General features: G+C 45.0%; 1 long non-coding RNA gene across 3 annotated transcripts in view; it reads right to left on the reverse strand.

The window, feature by feature from the left end:
* LOC105375920 (uncharacterized) overlaps positions 1-23,879 on the reverse strand; it is a 54,525-nt gene extending 30,646 nt beyond the window's left edge. The window contains exons 1-2 of one of the 3 annotated variants that reach the window (XR_929095.3): positions 22,770-23,290; positions 10,170-10,240 (exon numbers count right to left, since the gene is read on the reverse strand). This is a non-coding gene — a long non-coding RNA (uncharacterized LOC105375920). Of the gene's footprint in view, positions 1-10,169; positions 10,241-22,769 lie in introns of all 3 variants that reach the window. The other 2 variants (XR_929092.3, XR_929093.3) reach the window with 2 other exon arrangements.
* Between the last annotated feature and the right edge of the window lie 1,569 nt (positions 23,880-25,448).

The following is a 25,448-nucleotide window of genomic DNA, read 5'->3' on the forward strand; positions in this document are numbered from 1 at the left end:
AGTTCCGCCTTTGAGAATCATCCTTCAGCACATTGTTTCTCCCTGATACATATGGAAATATGCTGTAAAGTCCTTCTAACATGTCCCAACAATGTCCTGGAAGTAGCTTGTCTTCTCAGTGCGGCTGGAACTCAGGTAAGTACCCCTGAACAGGGCTGTATCACAACAGCTGCCCCAGCAGCTCATGACTCTGCAATCACTGTGCTATTGTTGGTGCTATTAATATTTAAGCAGGAGGCTTGGTGTAGCTGCCTGCTGAAACCCAGGCAGACTCAAGCCATGTGGCTGATACTCCTGTCCTACTGTCAATGTGGCTAATGCTATTTATGCCAACTCCTCTGCAGGCCACAGTAGTCCTTCTCCATGTCACAGTCTGTTAAAGATTCTCCTCATTGAAAGGCCAGGCACGCTGGCTCACACCTGTAATCCCAGCACTTTAGGAGGCTGAGGTGGGTAGATGATTTGAAGTCAGGAGTTCGAGACCAGCCTGGCCAACATGATGAAACCCCATCTCTACTAAACATACAAAAAAATTAGCCGAGTGTGGTGGCGCATGCCTGTAATCCCAGCTACTCGGGAGGCTGAGGCAGGAGAATCACTGGAACCTGGGAGGCAGAGGCTGCACTGAACCGAGATCGCACCATTGCACTCCAGCCTGGGCAACAGAGTGAAACTCTGTCTCAAAAACAAAAAAAAAGATTCTCATCGAACTGGCTTTCAGATGCACTTGAAAAATCTTTTCCCTGCACTCAAGCTTGCCAGTCAACTGTATTTGTTCCAAGAGGCCCCACTCTAAGACCCTGCACCAACAATCTGTTTTCCCCTCTATGTGGAAGTTCAGAAGCCAGCCCACCAGCCCTGTGTCCTATCCTTTTGGTGAGTTATTCCTCCAGGATCTTATTGTACTTTCCAGCTCTTTGCTCAGCCCAGTCCAGACTTGTCTTCAAAACACTGCCCCTTAGAAAGAAAGTGAGTGTGTGTGTGTATGTGTGTGTGTGTGTGTTTATAAGGAAGCAAGGAAGCAGCAGGACTTTCTCAAATGTGTTTCTTCCATCACAGGCATTGTTATACCCTTTGCTATCTCATGGATAACACAGTTTATTGGATTTTTTGAGGTTTGCATTTTCTTGGCCTGGGCTTTTGACCTTGCTTTTGGGAATATGTTTAGGTTACACTGCATGTGCTCAAGTGGGAGCACCATTCCTTGAGGTTTGTACAGAATCTGAACAGCACTATTATTATGAGATTTGGGATCAAAGAGGTGAACTCTTTGAGGAGATCCTAAGGGTTTCCAGCAAGTTATAGAAGAAAGTGTTTTCTTCCTCCTTTCCTTTCTCCTCATTTATTTTTTAAACCAGCTATGTGTTGGCTGATACGAGTCTGAGTGATGTATGCTTATATTCTAAAACGATCAGAAGGGCAGGTGTTCTTTCATTACAAATACTTTCTCCAAATGGCAGTGGCCCAGAGAGATAACTGGCCCACTGGGTAATTATTACCAGAAAGAAGCATTAGATCTCAATTGTTCTTCCTTTCAATTTTCTCCATGTTTATTGCTTTTGATAAGCAGTTGGGTGACTTTTTACTGGTGTATAAATAACCATTTCAAGGCCAGGCGCAGTGAATCACGCCTGTAATCCCAGCACTTTAGGAGGCTGAGGCAGGCTGATCACTTGAGTCCAGGAGTTTGAGATTAGCCTGGGCAATATGGCGAAACCCCATCTCTACAAAAAAATCAATAGGGCATAAATAAATAAATAACGATTTTACCTAACAGTCTTCCTCATTTATCTACCTTGGAGTTTATTTTGCAGAAATTTTGTGTTGAAAGAAAATGGCAGGAAGTAGAGCTATTCGATGCGGGTTATTTTATGAATGATTTACTAAAAACTGTTGTTGACAAGGAAGTTTCGATATAGCTGCTTTAAAAATTGTCCAGGGGCCAGGAGCAGTGGCTCATGCCTGTTATCCCAGCACTTTGGAAGGCCGAGGTGGGCAGATCACCTGAGGCCAGGAGTTCGAGAGCAGCCTGGCGAACACGAAACCCCGTCTCTATTAAAAATACAAAAATTAGCCGGGCATGGTGTCGGGCGCCTGTAATCCCATCTACTGGGGAGGCTGAGTAAGGAGAATCGCTTGAACCTGGGAGGTGGAGGTTGCAGTGAGCCAAGATCGCACCATTGCACTACAGCTTGAGTGACAAGAGCAAAACTCTGCCTAAAAAAAAAAAAAAGGTCAGGCACAGTGGCTCACGCCTGTAATCCCAACACTTTGGGAGGCTGAGGCGGGTGGATCACCTAAGGTTGGGAGTTCGAGACCAGCCTGACCAACATGGAGAAACCCTGTCTCTACTAAAAATACAAAATTAGCTGGGTGTGGTGTCGCATGCCTGTAATCCCAGCTACTCAGGAGGCTGAGGCAGGAGAATCACTTGAACCTGGGAGATGGAGGTTGCAGTGAGCCAAGATCGTGCCATTGCACTCCAGCCTGGGCAACAAGAGCGAAACTCTGTCTCAAAAAAAAAAAAACTGTCTGGGCTAGGCCAGGGGTGGTGGCTCACACCTATAATCCCAGCACTCTGGCAGGCTGAGGCAGGTGGATCACTTGAGGTCAGGACTTCGAGACCAGCCTGGCCAACATGGTGAAACCCCATCTCTATTTAAAAAAAAAAAAAAAAGCCCTGTGTGGTGGTGTGTGGCTGTAATCCCACTGTAATCCCAGCTACTCAGGAGACTGAGGCACGAGAATCGCTTGAGCCCTGGAGGTGGAGGTTGTGGTGAGTTGAGATCATGCCACTGCACTCCAGCCTGGGCAACAGAGTGTGACTCTGTCTCAAAAAAAAAAAAAGAAGAAGAAGAGGAGGAGGAGGAGGAGGAAGAAAAAATTGTCCAGGTTGCCTTCTATGTCACAGGCTATGAAAAAAAAAAAAATCCCAGGCTAAAAATATGGAGTAGAACTTCATATGGGAGCTCTGGAGATTGGCCATCCATTCCTCTCTCCAGTGGACGTGGGTCAGCCTTCTGGTAAGATCTGATTCCCTGTTCATTTCCTTAGCCGTCACAAAAGTACATAACTCTGTCTTCAGACTAATCATCTCTTGGCAAACTAGAATCACTGTGGAGCACATACTGGCCAGTTGCTATATAGCAGCTTTGTATTACCCAACACATAAGGGAATCCATATCCCTCCAGGGCTATTTGAAGAACATGTAACTGAAAAGCAGGTTAGTTACTTGCCGCATATAGAGTTCAATTAACAAGAGTGAAGTCTGTTACAAAAAAAGTGAATTTATACCCAAGCTAGCTTGGGGAAAGGGGCACAAAACGTCCTGCCTTTAAATGTGCCTCTTCACCTTTAGAGTAGAGAGCGGGCATTTTTATAAGGGAGGGGAGGAAATGAGCAAGGGTGGGATGCCCCTGCTTCCAGGCAGTTATCTACCGGGCAGTTGAGTTGGCGCCTTCCTGGCAGAAGCGAGTTGTAAAAGTGGCCAAGTAGGCATGCTTTTCACATCCCCTCCTAGTGGGTGTGACTTCCGAGGTGACCCCCTGGAGATGGGAGTTCCCTGGGGGCATGCTTTACTTTGCAAATTGATTGTCAGCTCTCGAGGAGAGACCCCTCTTAGAGCTCACAGTTAGACGAACTTGCCCTGTAGGGAATGTCTGGTGAGGGGAGGGGAAAGGTTATATTTGCATTTCTAAAGGGCTACGTAGGTTACAGGGAACAGGGGGAAAAGGAAGAGGAGAGAAAATAATAAAATAATTAAATTATCTCGTAGAAAAATGGGGATACTCGGTTACAGAAACACAGTCCATTCACTTTTTCTGAAAGTCTAAAATCTATCCCTAGACCAAACCAGACCAAAAGAAAGCTGGACCCCATCAAATTGATTGACACAAGGCATACAACGATGTTACACAAAAGGAGGTCGCTAACGCAGATCTGAAAGGTCAGGGAAGCTTTCCAGAGGAAGTGATGTCTAAGGCAGGACCTGAAACACAAGTAGGCATAATAGTAGGCAAAGAAAGATGCAGTAAAAGAGAACCAAGACGTGAGAGAGCGAGCACGGATTGTTAGAGGAACTGAGGACAGTTCAGTGTGGCTGGAGCACCATGTAAGGTAGAGAGTAGCAAGAGATCAAGCAGGCAGGCAGGCAGGCGCCAGATTATGCAGAAACAACGATGTTGAGTGTCTGAACGTTGTCCTGATGGCAATAGGAAGCCATTGGAAAGTTTTATATAAAGGGGATGACAGTCTGAGATATGCCTTTTTGAAAAACTATTGTGGTTGCACTGCAGTGATGGAGGGAACAGTTGGAAAAGACAAGACTGGAAGTTGGAAGACTGCTTGCAAAGCTCTCCTAGTCTAGGTGGGAGACATCAGTAGATGGAGAGAAACTGTTCTATTGTCAGGAACACCATCTGGGTTGCCTTGGAATGCCTGCAGTCACAACCTCTCACTTGGTTTTCATGTTCCCTGTTTGCACCGGCATTTGTGTATTTATAAGGATCACTCAAAGTGGTTTAAAAAAAAAAATGCACAATAGCTAAAGACCACACAAGTTACAGGCATAATTTTGTTTCCTGGGAGATTTTTGGAAAATAGAAAAGACTCCAGTTTCCCATTTTTAATTTTGTTAATCTGGGGCTTACATTATTCAAAAGCTACAACATGCTCAAAGTTTCATATTATGACAAATTAGGAGCCAGCTTCCATTCCTCTCTCTCTTACCTCTCACCTCTGGGGAATAATCAAGTCCTGTAAACACTTCCTAGGAAGTGTCTCACAGTCTTCCCACTCCTCTCTATGCTCCTGCCACTATCACAGTTCAACTTGCATCATCTTTTCCTTCAAAAGACCCCTAATTGTGTCCCTTCCTTCAGGATTCTGCATTTCTAGCCATTTTCCACTCTACAGCCAGAGCGACCCTTCTAAATGTAAAATGATTATGTTCCCCCATCATTCTTTAAATGTTGAAAATGACCCTTCATCGTCCTTGCAATAAAAAGCAGGTCTCTTGGCTGGGCGTGGTGGATCACGCCTGTAATCCCAGCACTTTGGGAGGCCGAGGCAGGTGGATCATGAGGTCAGGAGTTCGAGACCAGCCTGACCAACATGGTGAAACCCCATATCTACTGAAAATACAAAAATTAGCCAGGCATGGTGGCGGGCACCTCTAATCCCAGCTACTCAGGAGGCTGAGGCAGGAGAATCACTTGACCCTGGGAGGCGAGGTTGCAGTCAGCTGAGATGGCCCCACTGCACTCTAGCCTGGGTGACAGAGCAAGACTCTTGTCTCAAACAAAACAAAACAAAACAAAACAAAAGCAGGTCTCTGCTTCTCCTTCTTCAGACTGAACTTTTACCGCTCTCGTCTTGCATTCTCTGCTAAAGCTTTTCTGAACCCCGTTCTCCCTTGTTATAGCTATACCTCAACTCCACGATTCAAGAAAGCTATTCCCCCTACTTGGAATGTGGTGTGTGGTATATTCACCTCTTCTTTTGGTTATCTCTTATTCCTTCTCCCAGCTCTCGGTGTTTGTTGTTGTTGTTGTTGCTGTTGTTGTTTTTTGAGACGGAGTGGCAAAATTTCAGCTCACTGCAACCTCTGCCTCCCGGATTCAAGTGATTCTCCTGCCTCTGCCTCCCAAGTAGCTGGGATTACAGGCGGGTGCCACCACGCCTGGCTAATTTTTGTATTGTTAGTAAAGACAGGGTTTCGCCATGTTGGCCAGGCTGGTCTCAAACTCTTGACCTCAGGTGATCTGCCCACCTCAGCCTCCCCGAGTGTTGGGATTACATTTGTGAGCCACTACGCCCAGCAGCTCTCAGTCTTGTCTCTTCAGTCACAGTTTTACAATTCCCAGACTTGGCTAAATCCCCTTGTGATGTTGTTATAAACATCGATAGTTCCCCTATCAGAATCTCCACCACATTGTTAATTTTTTTAAGTGCATCTCCTTCCTGACTGACCATTCTTGTCTTGTTCCCTTCACATATTTCCTGGTATAGAGAAGGTTAAAAAAAATGCTTTGAATTAAAAATAAATTATGAAACAATCTTGAAAAAGAAGAACCAAGTTGGAAGGCCCACACTTCAATTTTAAAACCTACTACAAAGCAACAATAATCAAGACAGTGTGGTACTGACATATGGATGATATTGTGGTGAACCCCTATTAACCTCAGTTGGGAAGGCACCAGGTTCAAAAGGCCAAAGAGTCCCAGAGCCAGCAAATGAGACATGGGGTTTTATTAGGGGGATTACATACAGGGGAGAGAATCCAGTGGCAGTGGGCTGGGCAAGAAAACCGCAACCACTTGCAAAAAGTACTTTGTAATTTATACAGCATTTGCACTTAATACCCTACCCTTAACAATCCACTTGGCAACATTCATTTAACCCATAACTCAGGGCCTCAAGCCCTGTATGGCCCATGTTCCATGAGACTGGCTGGAGATGCAGATGTTACTCACAGACAAGGAACAAATCTCCAGGTTGGCTATTCCTGAATTCCCTAGCTCAGAACACACATTCAGGTGCATCTGCTATAAAGGCTCATTGGAAGGTTATGCTTGTTATTGCTACCAGGTGCATTTATCCTACGGCTGGATATAGTTCGATGGAATACAGTTGACACTCTGGAAATAAACCCATGATTCTGTGCTCAACTGATTTTTTAACAACAGTGCAAAGACTATACAATGGGGAAAGAATATTGTTTTTAATAAATGGGATTGGAACAACTAGATACCCAGACGCAAAAGAGTGAAGTTGTACTCCTATGTCACATGATATATAAAAATTAACTCAAAATGGATCAAAGACCTAAATGTAAAAAATAAAATTGGCTGGGCACAGTGGCTCACACCTGTAATCACTCCCAGTACTTTGGAAGACTGAGGCAGGAGGATCTCTTGAGGCCAGGGGTTCAAGACCAGCCTGGTCAACAAAGCGAGACCTTGTCTCTAATAAAAAATTTAAAAATAAGCCGGGCACAGTGGCTCACGCCTGTAATCCCAGCACTTTGGGAGGCCGAGGCATGCAGATCATGAGGTCAGGAGATCGAGACCATCCTGGCTAACACGGTGAAACCCCATCTCCACTAAAAATACAAAAAATTATCCAGGCGTGGTGGCGGGCACCTGTAGTCCCAGCTACTCTGGAGGCTGAGGCAGGAGAATGGCATGAACCTGGGAGGTGAAGTTTGCAGTGAGCCAAGATTGCACCACTGCACTCCAGCCTGGGCAACAGAGTGAGATTCCGTCTCAAAAATAAATAAATTAAAAAAAATAAAAAATATGCAGCCATAAAATAGAACGAGATGGGCTGGGAGAGGTGGCTTACGCCTGTACTCCCAACACTTTGGGAGGCCGAGGTGGGTGGATCACTTGAGGTCAGGAGTTCGAAATCAGCCTGGCCAGCATGGTGAAGCCCCATATCTACTAAAAATACAAAAAAAAAAAAAAAAAAATTAGCTGGGCATGGTGGCGCATGCCTATAGTCCCACTTACCTGGGAGGCTGAGGCAGGAGAATGGCTTGAACCTGGGAGGCCGAGGTTGCAGTGAGCCGAGATCACGCCATTGCCCTCCAGCCTGGGCGACAGAGCAAGACTCCGTCTCAAAAAAAAAAAAAAAAAAAGAAGGAACGAGATCAGCCGGGCATGGTGGGTGGCGGCTCACACTTGTAATCCCAGCACTTTGGGAGGCCGAGGTGGGCAGATCACTTGAGGTCAGGAGTTCAAGACCAGCCTGGTCAACATGGTGAAACCCTATCTCTACTAAAAATATAAAAATTGGCCAGGTGCAGTGGCTCACGTCTGTAATTCCAACACTTTGGGAGGCTGAGGCAGGCGGATCACAAGATCAGGAGTTCAAGACCAGCCTGGCCAACATGGTGAAACCCTGTCTGTACTAAAAATAAAAAATTAGCTGGGTGCGGTGGCACATGCCTGTAGTCCCAGCTACTCAGGAGGCTGAGGCAGGAGAATCACTTGAACCCAGGAGGCAGAGGTTGCAGTGAGCCGAGATCACACCACTGCACTCCAGCCTGGGTGACAGAGTGAGACTCTATCTCAAAAAAAAAAAAAAAAAAAAAAATTAGCCAAGCGTGGTGGCACATGCCTGTAGTTCCAGATACTCGGGAGGCTGAGGCAGGAGAATCACTTGAACTGGGGAGGTGGAGGTTGCAGTGAGCCAAGATCGCACCGCTGCACTCCAGCTTGGGCGACAGAGCGAGACTCCATCTCAAAAAGAAAAAGAAAAAAAATAAAAAGAAAGAGATCATGTATTTTGCAAGAACATGGATGGAGCTGGAGGCTATTATCCTTGGCAAACTAACACAGGTACTAAAAAGCAATTAACTCATCTTCTCACTTATAAGTGGGAGCTAAATGATGAGAACTCATAAACACAAAGAAGGAAACAACAGACACTGGGGTCTACCTGAGGGTGGAGGGTGGGAGGAGGGAGAGGAGCAGAAAAATAACCATTGGGTCCTGGGCTTAATACCTGGGTGATGAAATAATCTGTACAACAAACCCCCATGACACGAATTCACCTATGTAACAAACCTTCACATGTATCCCCGAACCTAAAATAAAAGTTTAAAAAATAAATAAAAATAAAAAGTAAAAAAACTAAAACTATAAAACTCTTACAAGAAAACATATGGCTAAATCTTCACGACCTTGGATTTGGCAATATTTTCTCAGATATGACACCAAAAACATAAGCAACAAAAGAAAAAAACAGATAAATAGGACTTCATCAAAATGAAAATATTTTGTTCTCAAAAAACACTATCAAGAAACTGAAGACTCAGAGAATGGGAGAATATTTTTGCAAATCATATATCTGATAAGGGACTTGCAGAACACTTTTTTTTTTTTTTTTTTTTTTTTGAGACAGAGTCTTGCTCTGTCACCCAGGCTGGAGTGCAGTGGTGTGATCTCGACTCACTGCAAGCTCTGCCTCCAAGGTTCATGTGATTCTCACGCCTCAGCCTCCCAAGTAGCTAGGATTACTGGCATGTGCCACCACACCCGGCTAATTTTTTGTATTTTCAGTAAAGACAGGGTTTCGCCATGTTGGCCAGGCTGTTCTCAAACTCCTGACTTCAAGTGATCTTCCCACCTAGGTCTCCCAAAGTTCTGGGATTACAGGCGTGAGCCACCACACCCAGCAGAACTTTTTTTTTTTAAATTCATATAGCAATAATAAAAAGACAACACAGTTTACAAATGGGTTGGATAATTTACAAATGCAAAAGATCTTAATAGACATTTTTCCAAAGAAGATATCAAAATGGCCAATAAACACATTAAAAGATGCTTAATGTCATTACACATTAGGGAATACAAATCAAAACCACAATGAAATATAATTACACACACACCAGGAAGGCTATAATCAAAAAGATTAATAATAACAAGTGTTGGTGAGGATGTGGAGGAATCAGAACCCTCATATATTGCTGGTGAGAATGTTAAGTGGTGACACTACTTTGGAAAATAATCTAATAGTTCCTCAAAAAGTTTAACATAGGCCAGGCGTAGTAGCTCACACCTATAATCCCAGCACTTTGGGAGGCTGAGGTGGGCGGATCAACTGAGGTCAGGAGTTCGAGACCAGCCTGGTCAAAATGGTGAAACCCTGTCTCTACTAAAAATACAAAAATCAGACAGACATGGTGGCACATGCCTGTAATCCCAGCTACTTGGGAGGCTGAGGCAGGAGAATTGCTTGAACTTGGGAGGCGGAGGTTGCAGTGAGCTCAGATCATGCCATTGCACTCCAACCTGGGCGACAGAGGGAGACTTAGTCTCAAAATAAATAAATAAAATAAAATAAAATAAAATAAAATAAAATAAAATAAAATAAAATAAAACTTTAACATAGAGTTACCATATGATCCAGAAATTCCACTCCTAGAGAAATGAAAACATGTGTCCACACAAAAACTTGTACATGAATATTTATACCAGCAATATTCATAATAGCCAAAGGGTGGAAACAACCCAAATTGTTCATCAACTAATACATGGATAAACAACTTTGTGTATATTCATACAATGGAATATTGTTTGGACATTGTCTTAGTTTGCTTTGTGTTGCTAAACAGAATACCACAGATTCGGTAATTTACAAAGAAAATAAATTCATTTCTTACAGTTCTGAAGACTGGGAAATCCAATATCAAGGGGCTCACATCTGGCAAGGGCCTTTGTGCTGTGTCATCCCCTGGTAAAAGGCAGAAGGGCAAGACAGCATGAGAGAGCAAGAGACTGCACTTGCAGGCATAAGCCCTTTTGTAATTATCATTAATCAATTCATGAGGGTGGAGCCCTCATGACCCAAACACCTCCCATTAGGCCCCACCTCCCCACACTGTTGTATTGGAGATTAAGTTTCCAAAACATGCTTTTTGGGGAACACATTCAAACAGTAGCAGCCATAAAAAGAAATGAAGCACTTATACATGCTACAGTATGAATGAGCCTTGAAAACATTCTGCTGAATGCTGAGAGGCTAGTCACAAAAGACCACATACATGATTTCATTTACGTGAAATGTCCATAACAGGAAAATCTGTAGAGGAGGAAAGTAATAATTTAACGGCCGGGCACGTTGGCTCACGCCTGTAATCCCAGCACTTTGGGAGGCCGAGGCGGGCGGATCACGAGGTCAGGAGATTGAGACCATCCTGGCCAACATGGTGAAACCCCGCCTCTACTAAAAATATAAAAAATTAGCCGGGCATGATGGCGGGCGCCTGTAGTCCCAGCAAGTCGGGAGGCTAAGGCAGGAGAATGGCGTGAACCCGGGAGGCGGAGCTTGCAGTGAGCCCAGATTGTGCCACTGCACTCCAGCCTGGGTGACAGAGCAAGACTCCAGTCTCAAAAAAAAAAAAAAAAAAATTTACCTCTAATCACTGCATTAGCTTTATCTCACAAATTTTGATATGTTGTATTTTCATTTTCATTCAGCTTAAAATATTTTCCAATTTCCCTTATGATTTCTCCTTGGGTTCTTCTTTTTTTTTTTTTTTTTTTGAGACAGAGTCTCGCTTTGTCACCCAGGCTGGAGTGCAGTGGTGCAATCTGGGCTCACTGCAACCTCCACCTCCTAGGTTCAAGTGATTCTCATGCCTCAGCCTCCTGAGCAGCTGGGATTACAGGTGCCCACCATGACACCCGGCTAATTTTTGTATTAGTAGAGACAGGGTTTCACCATATTGGTCAGGCTGGTCTTGAACTCCTGACTTCAAGTGATCCAACTACCTCGGCCTCCCAAAGTGCTGGGATTATAGGCGTGAGCCACCGTGCCTGGCCTCTTTTTGGGATATTTAAAAAGGTGTTGCTTAACTTCCAAGTATTTGGGGGTTTTCTGGATAATTTTTTTGGTTTCTTTAAATACAATTATCTTTTGATCTGAAATCATACTATAATTTCAATTCTTTTAATTTATTGATACTTGTTTTATGGCTGAAAATATATTCTATCCTGGTGAATATCTTATGTATACATGAAAAGAATATGTATTATGTTATTGTTGGGTGAAAAATTCTATAAATGCAAACTGAGTGACTGACAGAGGTTTTGTTTTTGTTTCTTTCTTTCTTTGTTTTTGACAGGAGTCTCACCCTGTCACCCAAGCTGGAGTGCAATGGAGTGATCTTGGCTCACTGCAACCTCCACCTCACAGGTTCAAGCGATTCTCCTGCCTCAGCCTCCTGAGTAGCTGGGATTACAGGCATGCACCACCACGCCCGGCTAATTTTTTGTATCTTTAGTAGAGATGGGGTTTCACCATGTTGGCCAGGCTGGTCTCGAACTCCTGACCTCATGATCCACCTGCCTCGGCCTCCCAAAGTGCTGAGATTACAGGCATGAGCCACTGCGCCCAGCCTTGACAGAGTTTTCGAAGTCTTCTACATGCTTTCTGATTTTTCATCCACTTTCTTTTTTGTTTGTTTATTTTTGTTTTTGTTCTTTTTTTTTTTTAATGGAGTTTCACTCTTGTCGCCCAGGCTGGAGTGCAGGTGGCGCGATCTCGGCTCACTGCAACCTCCGCCTCCTGGGTTCAAGCGATTCTCCTGCCTCAGCTTCCCGAGGAGCTGGGATTACAGGCGCACGCTGCCACACCCAGCTAATTTTTGTATTTTTAGTAGAGATGGGATTTCACCATATTGGCCAGGCTTGTCTCGAATTCCTGACCTCATAATCTACCCGCCTCGGCCTCCCAGAGTGCTGGGATTACAGGCGTGAGCCACCGCGCCCAGCCTGTTTTCGTTCTTTTTTGAGACACGATTCCACTCTGTTGTCCAGCTGGAGTGCAGTGGCACAATCAGGACTCACTGCAGCCTCAACCTTCCAGGCTCAGGCATTCCTCCCACCTCAGCCTCCTGGGTAGCTGGGACGATGGGCATGCACCACCACGCCTGGCTAATTTTTTTGTATTTTTAGTAGAGACAGGTTTCTTCATGTTGCCCAGGCTGGTCTCAAAATCTTGGGCTCAAGCGATCCACCTGCCTCAGCCTCACATAGTGCTGAGATTACAAGCGTGAGACCCCACTCCTGGCCCACTTTCTATTGATTACTGAAAATTGAGTATTGAAATTTCTAACTCTAAATGTGGCTTTTTCTATTTCTCCTTTAAGTTCTAACAGTTTTGCTCTATGTTTTTCAAAGTTTTGTTATTGGGTACATACACATTTAAGATTTTAAAATCTTCTTGGGGAATTGAATTTTATCGTTATGAAATCTTCCTTTTATTTCTGTAATATTTCTTGTTTGAAAGCTTATTTCAGGCCTGGCGTGGTGGCTCACGCCTGTAATCCTAGCACTTTGGGAGGCCACAGTGGGCAGATCACCTGAGGTCAGGAGTTTGAGACCAGCCTGGCCAACATGGTGAAACCCTGTCTCTACTGAAAATACAAAAATTAGCTGGGCGTGGTGGTATGCATCTGTAATCCCAGCTGCTGAGGTGGCTGAGGCACAAGAATCACTTGAACCCTGGAGGTGGGGGTTGTAGTAAGCTGAAATCATACCACTGCACTCCAGCCTGGGTGACAGAACGAGACTCTGTCTCAAAGAATAAATAAATAAATTAGCGATTTAAAAAATTAAGAAAATTTTTAAAAAGAAAGCTTATTTCCACTAGTGCCGTGACTCACGCCTGTAATCCTAGCACTTTGGGAGGCCAACGTGGACAGATTGCTTGAGCTCAGGAGTTCAAGACCAGCCTGGACAATATGACAAAACCCCATCTCTACAAAACAATACAAAATATTAGCTGGGCATGGTGGTACATGCCTGTAGTCCCAGCTACTCAGGAGGCTGAGGTGGGAGGATCACTTGAGCCCAGCAGATCGAGGCTGCAGTGAGCTGAGCTCATGCCACTGCACTCCAGCCTGGGTGACAAAGTAAGACCCTCTCTCTTAAAAAATTTTTTTTAAAATAAAGCTCCTTTTGTCTAATATTAATAGAGCCACTTCTAGATTTATTTTGGTTAGTGCTAGCTTAATATATATTAATATATAATTTCTCCCTTTTAGTTTGTGTTTTTAGAACATTACATTTAATGTAGTTATAAAGTGTTCATGCTAAATATACCATTTTTTTTTTTTTTTTTTTGAGATGGAGCTTTGCTCTCGTTGCCCAGGCTGGAGTGCAATGGCACGATTTTGGCTCACCACAATCTCCACCTCCCGGGTTCAAGCGATTCTCCTCCCTCAGCTCCCATGCAGCTGGGATTGCAGGCATGTGCCACCATGTCCGGCTAATTTTGTATTTTTTTAGTAGAGACAGGATTTCTCCATGTTGGTCAGGCTGGTCTCGAACTCCCGACCTCAGGTGATCTGCCTGCCTCGGTCTCCCAAAGTGCTGGGATTACAGGTGTGAGCCACTGCACCTGGCCTAAATCTACCATTTACTGTTTGTCTTCTTCTTTTTTTTTTTTTTTTTTTTTTTTGAGATGGAGTCTCACTGTGTCATCAGGCTGGAGTTCAGTGGTCTGATCTCGACTCACAGCAACCTCCGCCTCCCGGGTTCAAGCGATTCTCCTGCCTCAGCCTCCAGAGTAGCTGGGATTACAGGCATCTACCACCATGCCTGGATAATTTTTGTATTTTCAGTAGAGATGGGGTTTCACCATGTTGGCCAAGCTGGTCTCAAACTCCCGAGCTCAGGTGATCTGCCCGCCTCAGCCTCCCAAAATGCTGGGATTATAATAGATGTGAGCCATGGCACCCAGCTACTCTTTCTATCTATTCCTTTTTTGTCACTTCTTTTGGGTAGACAAATTTTTTTTTTTTTTTCTGTGACAGAGTCTCACTCTGCCACCCTGGCTAGAGTGCAGTGGCCTGATCTCGGTTCACTGCAGCCTCCACCTCTCAGGTTCAAGCGATTCTTGTGCCTTGGCCTTCTAAGTAGCTGGGATTACAGGCATGCACCACCATGCCCAGTTAATTTTTTGTGTTTTTTCTAGAGATGGCGTTTTGCCATGTTGGCCAGGCTGGTCTTGAACTCCTGGCTTCAAGTGATCTCCCTGCCTCAGCCTCCCAAAGTGCTGGGATTACAGGCGTGAGCCACCACATCCAGCTGAAAATTTTTGTAATTCCATCTTATTTGTACTATTGACTCATTAGCTGTATCTCTAAATTTTACTTCTTAGTAGTTGCTCTAGGTTTATAATATGCACTATTAATTTGTTAACAGTCTATCTTCAGATAATATTACACCACTTCACCTGTAGTATAAGAATTGTGGCTGGGTGCGGTGGCTCACGCCTGTAATCCCAACTCCTTGGGAGGCCAAGGCGGGTGGATCACCTGAGGTCAGGAGTTCGAGACCAGCCTGGCCAATATGGGGAAACGACAACAACAAAAAAATTAGCCAGGCATGGTGGCAGGTGCCTGTAATCCCAGCTACTTGGGAGGCTGAGGCAGGAGAATCGCTTGAACCCAGGAGGTGGAGGTTGCAGTGAGCCGAGATTGTGCCATTACACTCCAGCCTGGGCGACAAGAGTGAAACTCCACCTCAAAGAAAAGAAAAGAAAAGAATCGTAATGCCAGGAGCAGTGGCTCATGACTGTAATCCCAGCACTTTAGGAGGCCCAGGTGGGCAGATCACCTGAGGTCATGAGTTTGAGACCAGCCTGGCCAACATGGTGAAACCCCATCTCCACTAAAAATAAAAAAATTAGGCCAGTTACAGTGGCTCACACCTGTAATCCCAACACTTTGGGAGGCCAAGGTGGGTGAATCACCTGAGGTCAGGAGTTCAAGACCAGCCTGACCAACATGGATAAACCGCATCTTTACTAAAAATACAAAATTAGCTGGGCGTGGTGGTGCATGCCTGTAATCCTAGCTACTCAGGAGGCTGAGGCAGGAGAATCCCTTGAATCCAGGAGGCGGAGGTTGCGTTGAACCAAGATTGTGCCATTGCACTTCAGCCTGGGCAACAAGAGCAAAACCCCATCCAAAAAAAAAAAAAAAAAATTAGCCAGGCATGGTGGTGCACACCTGTAATCCCAGCTACTTGGGAGGCTGAGGGAGGAGAATACGTTGAACCCTGGAGGCGGAGGTTGCAGTGAGCCAAGATCATGCCATTGCACTCCAGCCTGAGCAACACAGTCAAACTCCAACTTAAAAAAAAAACAAACAAAAAAAGAATTGTACATGAGTATCCTCCCACGTCCTTGTTCCTATCATTTTTTACCGTGATTGTTATACATTTCATTTCTCCACACTTTATGAGCTTCACAATACCTTGTCACTAATTTATATTTTAAAATTATCTTTTAAAGAATACTAAAAATGAGAAAAAAATTTATATTCAGCAAAATATTTTCTTTTTCCAATATTTACTTTATTCCTTTGTGTCAATTCTCATTTCACCTTGGTATCATTTTCCTTTTCACCTGAAAACTTCTTTATAACATTTTTTATAGAGTTAGTCTAATATTAATATCAATAAAGTATATCAGATTATTTTGAATCTAAAAATATTTTTATCCCACCTTCATTTTTTTTTTAAAGAGATGAGGTCTCATTATGTTGCCCAGGCTGGCCTCAAGTGATCTTCCTGCCTTGGCTTCCAAAGTGCTGTGATTACAGATGTAAGCCACTGAACCCAGCTCCAGCTTCATCAAGAAGTCTTCTGTCGGGCTGGACATGGTGGCTCATGCCCGTAATCCCAGCACTTTGGGAGGTCGAGGTGGTGGATCACCTGAGGTCAGAGTTCAAGACCAGCCTGGCTATCATAGTGAAACCCCATCTCTACTAAAAATACAAAAATTAGCTGGGCATGGTGGCTCATGCCTGTAATCCCAGTTATTCAGAAGGCTGAGGCAGGAGAATCACTTGAACCCGGAAGACAGGGGTTGCAGTGAGCCAACATAGCACCACTGCACTCCAGCCTGGGCGACAGAGCAAGACTGTCAAAAAAAAAAGGAGAAGTTTTCTGTCATTCATTCTTACCTTTGTTCTTCCATACATAATCTTGCTCCACCCTTCCCTCAATTCTGGTTGCTTTAGGACTTTGTCTTTATCACTGGTTTTCAGAAATCTGATGAACATGCACATCAGTGCCATTTTCTTTATATTTCTTCTGCTTGGAGTTTTTTGAGGTTTTTTAATCTGTTGGTTTATGGTTTCATTAAATTTAGGAAATTTCAGGAATTGTTTTTCAAATAATGTTTTTTCCCTTTTCTCCTTATTTTTCTGGAACTCCAACTCCATGTATGTTAGGCAGTTTGATATTGTCTCATAGATCCCTGATAAACAAATAAATAAGTTTGATTTTTGGGTTTTTTTTTTTTTCCAGTCTCTTTTTTTGCCATGTTTCTTTCTTTTTTTTTCTTTTTTTGAGAAGGAGTCTTGCTCTGTCGCCCAGGCTGGAGTGCAGTGGTGCAATCTCAGCTCACTGTAACCTCCACTTCCTGGGTTCAAATGATTCTCCTGCCTCACCTTCCTTAGTAGCCAGGATTACAGGTGCCCATCACCACGCCTGGCTAATTTTTGTATTTGTAGTAGAGATGGGGTTTCACCATGTTGGCCAGTCTGGTCTTGAACTCCTGGCCTCAAGTGATCCACCACCTCGGCTTCCCAAAGTGCTGAGATTACAGGCGTGAGCCACTGCGCCTGGCTGCCATGTTTCATTTTGGATGGTTTCTGTTGTTATGCATTCAGTTCACGCAAAATTCTTTTTCTCTGCAGTGTCTACTCATTTCATCCAGTATATTTTTACTATTACATAGTGTATTTTCATGTCTACAAATTCTATTTTAAAATATCTTCAATTTCTGTCATCATTTTGTTAACGTTTTTCTTTACGTTCTTGAACATGTAAATAATAGCTGTTTTAAAGGTAATTCCATCTTAATTACCATTTCTGGGTCTCTTTCCATTGATTTATCTACAGGTTATGTGTTATATATTCTGCTTTCCATGAATAATAATGTTTCATTGGTTCCTAGATATTCTCAATTTGCATTGTTATATGCTGGGTTTTGTTATACTCCTTTATAAAAATGAACTTTGTTTTAGCATTCAATTAAATTGCTTGTGAATTAATTGACATCAGTGGGACTTCTGGGATATTAGATATTGTCTTCTCCTTTTTTAAATCTGGGTGCTGGTTATGTGGGTATGCTTATTTTGTAAAATTTATCAAACTTATTTATGATTTGTGTATTTTTCTGTTTATATGGTACATTAACATATATTCAATTTTAATACCTTTATTTTAGAAATGTAAACGGGGCTGGGCACAGTGGCTGACACCTCTAATCTCAGCACTTTGGGAGGCCAAATTGGGAGGATTGCTTAAGGCCAGGAGTTCAAAACCAGCCTGAGGCCAGGCACAGTGGCTTACGCCTGTAATTCCAGCGCTTTGGGAGGCTGAGGCAAGTGAATCACTTGAGGTCAGGAGTTCGAGACCAGCCTAGCCAATGTGGTGAAACCGTCTCTACTAAAAATACAAAACTTAGCCAGGTGTGGTGGCGGGGGCCTGTAGTCCCAGCTACTTGGGAGGCTGAGGTAGGAGAATTGCTTGAACCTGGGAAGCAGAGGTTGTGGTGAGTAAGATTATGCCACTGCACTCCAGCCTGGATGACAGAGTAAACTCTGTCTCAACAACAACAACAACAACAACAACAACAACAAACAGCCTGGGCAATATAGTGAGACCCCATCTCTACCAAAAAAAAAAAAAAGTAATTGGGATAGAGCATTCCCCTTTTTTTCTCTCCACTTTGATTCTCCCCAGAAGATGATGGGAGGCTCAAAGCATATCAATGCACTCGAAGGAGTGATTCTGGGTAAGTGAGTATGCACATTCTCCCCTACGTAAATCATCCCATGATCTAGACTTGGAGTAGACCAGATTATGGCCTAATATTCAAGCTAATATCTTCAATTCAGTTTTGCAAATCACAGGATGGATGATTTGTCCCTGTCTGACAGGCTTTGATGTCTTCTCCTTTATTGATTTGAAACTTAGGAGGTAGAAAGAAGAGTATTTTCTTTTCTTTCCTTTTCTTTTGAGACAGAGTTTCGCTCTTGTTGCCCAGACTGGAGTGCAATGGCACAATCTTGGCTCACCACAACCTCTGCCTCCTGGGTTCAAGTGATTCTCCTGCCTCAGCCTCCCGAGTAGCTGGGATTACAGGCACGTGCCACCACGCCCGGCTAGTTTTGTATTTTTAGTAGAGACGGGGTTTCTCCATGTTGGTCAGGCTGGTTTTGAACTCCCGGCCTCAGGTGATCCACCCGCCTTGGCCTCCCAAAGTGCTGGGATTACAGGTGTAATCCCACCACCCCTGGCGAAAGAAGAGTATTTTCAACAAGACCTCAAATGAAAACAGACATTCTAGTAATAAATGGGACTTGACATCTTTGACCCCTCCATGTGACTAAAATTTAAGTTTCATTTTAAAACATGAAGATAATGATATGTCTGTTTCTGAACCACTGGATTGAAAATTTACACATGGATGAGTTCCATAATTTCACATGTTTAATTGGTCATTAAGGCTACCTTAGCAACTGCTACATCAAATGATAGCTTTTGACTGGGCATGGTGGCTCACACCTCCCAAAGTAGTCCCAGCATTTTGGGAGGCCGAGGCAGGTGGATCACTTGAGGTCAGGAGTTCGAGACCAGCCTGGCCAACATGGGAAAACCCCGTCTCTACTAAGAATACAAAAATTAGCCAGGCATGGTGGTGCGTACCTGTAATCCCGGCTACTTGGGAGGATGAGGCAGGAGAATCGCTTGAACCCGGGAAGTGGAGGTTGCACTGAGCCGAGATCATGCCACTGCACTCCAGCCCAGGCAACAGAGCAAGACTCCGTGGCTGAAAAAAAAAAAAAAAAGTAGCTTTTACAATTCTGACCTATAGAGAGCTTTCTTAAAGCAACTCAAAGGCCAGGTGCAGTGGCTTACGCCTGTAATCCCAACATTTTGGGAGGCCTAGGCTGGTGGATCACCTGAGATCAGGAGTTTTAGACCAGCCTGACCAATATGGTGAAACCCCGTCTCTACTACAAATAGAAAAATTAGCTGGGCATGGTGGTACACGCCTGTAGTCCCAGCTACTCAGGAGGCTGAGACAGGAGAATTGCTTGAACCCAGGAGGCGGAGGTTGCAGTGACCCGAGATCGTGCCACTGCGCTCCAGCAGCCTGGGTGACAGAGCAAGACTCTGTCTCAAAAAAAAAAAAAAGCAATTCAATAGCATTAAGTAAAAAGTGATACCTTTATGAGCTACTAAAATGTGTATATGGCCAGGCATGGTGGTGCAGGCCCATAATCCCAGCACTTTGGGAGGCTGAGACAGGCAGATCACTTGAGCCCAGGAGTTCAAGATTAGCCTGGGCAACATGGAAAGACCCTATCTCTACAAAAAATTTTAAAAATAGTAAAAGACAATCTGTATATATCAAATAAAAATTCCCAGCCAAGTATGAAATTCTCTAAAGCTTTATACATGAAATGTATAACATGTAATTATCCTTTATTATAGCTAGAGTGGGTTTCTCTTATGAATTGTGGTACAATGTCCAAATTTTTGATCTGATCATTTCTGAACAACAGAAGGAAGACATCAGTGACAGCAACAACATATACAATTTAAACTTTCATATGTATGGTCTGAATAAGAAAATTACATTTCAATAACAAAAAAGGTGTTTTTTTCAATCACACTGCTAAGTTTTTGAGATATCAAATTGAGTAAAACATGGCCTAACATCTTAAGAAGTTTACAGTCAGGTAAGAACAATTCATTTTTTCATTCAGCAATATCATAGCACATCTGTATTGTGCCAGGGAATTTTCTAAGAGCTGGGGGTGGAGAGGGGTGCACAGTGAGCAAAATCGACAAAGATCCCCATCCTTATGGGAATTTACATTCTCATGGAAAAAATAAACAATAACCAAATAAATATATATATTGGATGGTAAAAAATGCAACTGAGCAAAAGTAGAAGGAGGATAAAGTGTGTGTGTGTTTATGTGTGTGTGTTGTGTTGGGGAGGACACGGTTGTCATTTCTTTTCTTGGATAGTGGAAAACCTCAATATATTTAGACTTAGTGAGCTGCAATCCACTTATATGATCCCAGTTTTGTTGGCACCACCTAAAGCATCATGGTAGGTCTAGTCTAAAGTATGCCTTCTTCTCTCCCAAGCAAGTTGACCTTGGCCATGTCAGGGTCCCAGAGCTTCTTCACATCTTGCCGGATCTGTCCTGACAACCGCAGTAAACACCAAGTGCTGGTGCCTTCTACCTTCTTTATGACCCACTGGGAAATCAGGGGCAAACTGATAGTGGCACAATGGTTGTTCTTCTTTCTGGAGAACGCTTTTTTAGATTTTGCTTTGTATAACTTACCCATAAACAGTACTTTCACTTTAAGGATTTCAGCTGTATTTAAATACAAACAGGGAGCTGGCTGCAGTGGCCCAAACCTGTAATCCCAACACTTTGGGAGGCCAAGGCAGGAGGATTGCTTGAGGCCAGGAGTTCCAGACCAGGCTGGGCAACATAGAGAGACTCTGTCCTTACAAAATCTTTAAAAATAGCTGGGGTGGGCCAGGCACGGTGGCTCACGCCTGTAATCCCAGCACTTTGGGAGGCCAAAGCGGGCAGATCACGAGGTCAGGAGATCGAGACCATCCTAGCTAACACAGTGAAACCCCATCTCTAATAAAAACACACAAAAAAGATTAGCTGGGTGAGGTGGCACGCGCCTGTAGTCCCAGCTACTCAGGAGGCCGCGGCAGGAGAATAGCTTGAGCCCGGGAGGCAGAGGTTGCTGTGAGCCAAGATCTCACCCCTGCACTACAGCCTGGCGACAGAGCGAGACTCCATCTCAAAAAATAAATAAATATATAAAAATAAAAGAAGTGAAGTGATAGGAATAATATTGGGTTGGTGCAAAAGTGATTACGGTTTTTGCCTTAAAAGCAGTGACATTAGGCCGGGTGCGGTGGCTCACGCCTGTAATCTCAGCACTTTGGGAGGCCGAGACGGGCGGATCCCCTGAGGTCGGGAGTTTGAGACCAGCCTGAACAACATGGAGAAATCCCATCTCTACTAAAAATATGAAATTAGCCGGGCGTGGTGGCACATGCCTGTAATCCCAGCTACTCAGGAGGCTGAGGCAGGAGAATCACTTGAACCTGGGAGGCGGAGGTTGTGGTGAGCCAAGATCACGCCATTTGCACTCCAGCCTGGACGACAAAAGCGAAACTCCGTCAAAAAAAAAAAAGCAGTAAAAGCAATTACATCAACCTAATAGCAGGGCATGGAAGCTATTTTGCCTGAGTAAAGATTCCCAGCTTTGTACTGGGCAAGTTACTGAACTTCTCTTTGCCTCAGTTTCCCACTTAAAAATTGAGATAATAATAGTGCCTCTGTTATGGGGATTAAATAAGATAATACATAGGAGAGAGGAGTGGTTCTGAAACTTTAACTTGTATACAGATCTCTTTTAAATGCAGATTCTGGGATGTCCCCAAGAATCTGCATTTCTAACAAGCTCCTGGGGCTGCTGACTCCACTGCTCCACAGACCACACTTCTGTGTCAAGGTTGTAAGGCACGTAGAACACTGCCTGGCACACAGAGTGCGCTGAATAAATTTAACTATGGTTATATTTTCACACAGTTGAGTTGGCAGGGAAACCAGATTAAAAAGCCAAAAAGTTTCTCTCCTTCTCTATCAGATGTTTCCTGACGATACTGTATCCTTGAATAGAATTCTACTGCATTCTGAGTTCAAGTATGAATGTGCATATGGATAACAGGTTTTCATTTTTAAAAGCTCTCAATAGCAGCTTGAAGCACTATTCTTGAATTTATGGTTTTAAGCCGTATCAAAGTACCTAATACCATGTGCATTGCAGGCATTTATTTAATACTTGGATCAAAGAATGTCCAGACTATCTGAATAAATCATCCCTGTAGGAATGAACAGTGCTGCTGGAGTTCGGTTTTATTTAATGTGGTGGCATGTATGCTAAACTACGACTTCAAGAATGTGGCAATTGTGTTCTAAAATCCAAAGTATGTTACACTAATCTAATTGCTAGAATCTCATGCAAGGCTGACTCTAACCCAACTACTTCCTTCTTCCTGTGCGGCTCAACCCAGACTTTACATGCTAACAGTGCCCTCTACTGTTCAGCAACCAGTCGGTGCTACTAAATCCAATTCATAAAGCTGCAAAATCAGAATTCAGACAACTGGGTTCACTTACCACACAAACGTAGCTTGCATCTGCCTTTATAGGAGAGAGGGCGGCTGTCAAGGAGCGGTCCATACTGGGAGGGGCTGAGACTGATTTCTGGGCCACCAATGTGAAGCTGACCAGGATCCCCAGAGAGGAGAGAAAAGCTCGTTGTTGTTTTCCTCTGAAGCACTAACATCCTACAACCTCCCTTTCTCCACACTGACCTGGTCTTCACCCTTTGTCCTCCCCCTCCTTAAAGTTAGTTGCATCGTCAGCCTTTTCTACCTGACCCTCATTCCACCTGCCAAACTGTAATTCTCCTTTGGAGAAATCTGGAAACACAAAAGTCCTCAGGATACAGCCTCTTGCCACTAAGCATGGGCAACTGTTCTGTGACTGCGATTAGATCCTTTAGTTTGTAGCACCTCAACTTTTGTTTTCAAGGCTTTTGAGTATATTCACAGAGGCGCGCAACCATCACCGTAATCTAACTTTGAGCATTTTCATCACCCCAAAAAGAAATTCTGAGCCGGGCACAGTGGCTCATGCCAGTCATCCAAGCACTTTGGGAGGCCGAAGTGGGAGTGAGAGGTGACAGTGTGCTGGCAGTCCTCAGAGCCCTCTCTTGCTCTCGGCGCTTCCTCTGCCTGGGTTCCCACTTTGGCGGCACTTGAGGAGCCCTTCGGCCCGCCGCTGCACTGTGGGAGCCCCTTTCTGGGCTGGCCAAGGCCAGAGCCGGCTCCCTCAGCTTGCAGGGAGGTGTGGAGGGAGAGGCGCGAGCAGGAACCGGGGCTGCGAGCAGCGCTTGCGGGCCAGCTGGAGTTCCGGGTGGGCGTGGGCTTGGCGGGCCCCGCGCTCGGAGCGGCCGGCCGGCTCTGCCGGCCCCGGGCAGTGAGGGGCTTAGCACCCGGGCCAGCGGCTGCGGAGGGTGTACTGCGTCCCCCAGCAGTGCCAGCCCACCGGCGCTGCGCTCGATTTCTCGCCGGGCCTTAGCTGCCTTCCCACGGGGCAGGCCTCGGGACCGCAGCCCGCCATGCCTGAGCCTTCCCCCGCCTCCGTGGGTTCCTGTGCAGCCCGAGCCTCCCCGACGAATGCCTGCCCCCTGCTCCACGGCGCCCAGTCCCATCGATCACCCAAGGGCTGAGGAATGCGAGCGCATGGCGCGGGACTGGCAGGCAGCTCCACCTGCAGGCCCGGTGCGGGATCCACTAGGTGAAGCCAGGTGGGCTCCTGAATCTGGTGGGGACGTGGAGAGTGTTTATATCTAGCTCAGGGATTGTAAACACACCAATCAGCACCCTGTGTCTAGCTCAGGGTTTGTGAGTGCACCAATCGACACTCTGTATCTAGCTGCTCTGGTGGGGCCTTGGAGAACCTTTATGTCTAGCTCAGGGATTGTAAACACACCAATCAGCACCCTGTGTCTAGCTCAGGGTTTGTGAGTGCACCAATCGACACTCTGTATCTAGCTGCTCTGGTGGGGCCTTGGAGAACCTTTATGTCTAGCTCAGGGATTGTAAACACACCAGTCAGCACCCTGTGTTTAGCTCAAGGTTTGTGAGTGCACCAATCAACACTGTGTATCTAGCTGCTCTGGTGGGGCCTTGGAGAACCTTTATGTCTAGCTCAGGGATTGTAAACACACTAATCAGCACCCTGTGTTTAGCTCAGGGTTTGTGAGTGCACCAATCGACACTCTGTATCTAGCTGCTCTGGTGGGGCCTTGGAGAACCTTTATGTCTAGCTCAGGGATTGTAAATACACCAATCAGCACTCTGTATCTAGCCCAAGGTTTGTAAACACACCAATCAGCACCCTGTGTTTAGCTCAAGGTTTGTGAGTGCACCAATTGACACTGTGTATCTAGCTGCTCTGGTGGGGCCTTGGAGAACCTTTGTGTGGATACTCTGTATCTAACTAATCTGATGGGGACGTGGAGAACAGTTATATCTAGCTCAGGGATTGTAAACGCACCAATCAGCACCCTGTCAAAATAGACCACTTGGCTCTACCAATCAGTGGGATGCGGGTGGGGCCAGATAAGAGAATAAAAGCAGGCTGCCCGAGCCAGCAGTGGCAACCCGCTCGGGTCCCTTTCCACGCTGTGGAAGCTGTGTTCTTTTGTTCTTTGCAATAAATCTTGCTGCTGCTCAGTCTTTGGGTCCACACTGCTTTTATGAGCTGTATGTAACACTCACCGCGAAGATCTGCAGCTTCACTCCTGAGCCCAGCGAGACCACGAGCCCACCGGGAGGAACGAACAACTCCAGACACGCTGCTTTAAGAGCTGTAACACTCTCCACAAAGGTCTGCAGCTTCACTCCTGAGCCAGTGAGACTACGAACCCACCAGAAGGAAGAAACTCCGAACACATCTGAACAGCAGAAGGGAAAGACTCCAGATGCACCGCCTTAAGAGCTGTAACACGGCCGGGCGCGGTGGCTCACGCCTGTAACCCCAGCACTTTGGGAGGCCGAGGCGGGCGGATCACGAGGTCAGGAGATCGAGACCATCCCGGCTAAAACGGTGAAACCCCGTCTCTACTAAAAATACAAAAAATTAGCCGGGCGTAGTGGCGGGCGCCTGTAGTCCCAGCTACTTGGGAGGCTGAGGCAGGAGAATGGCGTGAACCCGGGAGGCGGAGCTTGCAGTGAGCCGAGATCCCGCCACTGCACTCCAGCCTGGACGACAAAGCGAGACTCCGTC

The sequence above is a fragment of the Homo sapiens genome, chromosome 8 (assembly GCF_000001405.40).
Source record: "Homo sapiens chromosome 8, GRCh38.p14 Primary Assembly".
Lineage (NCBI taxonomy): Eukaryota > Metazoa > Chordata > Mammalia > Primates > Hominidae > Homo > Homo sapiens.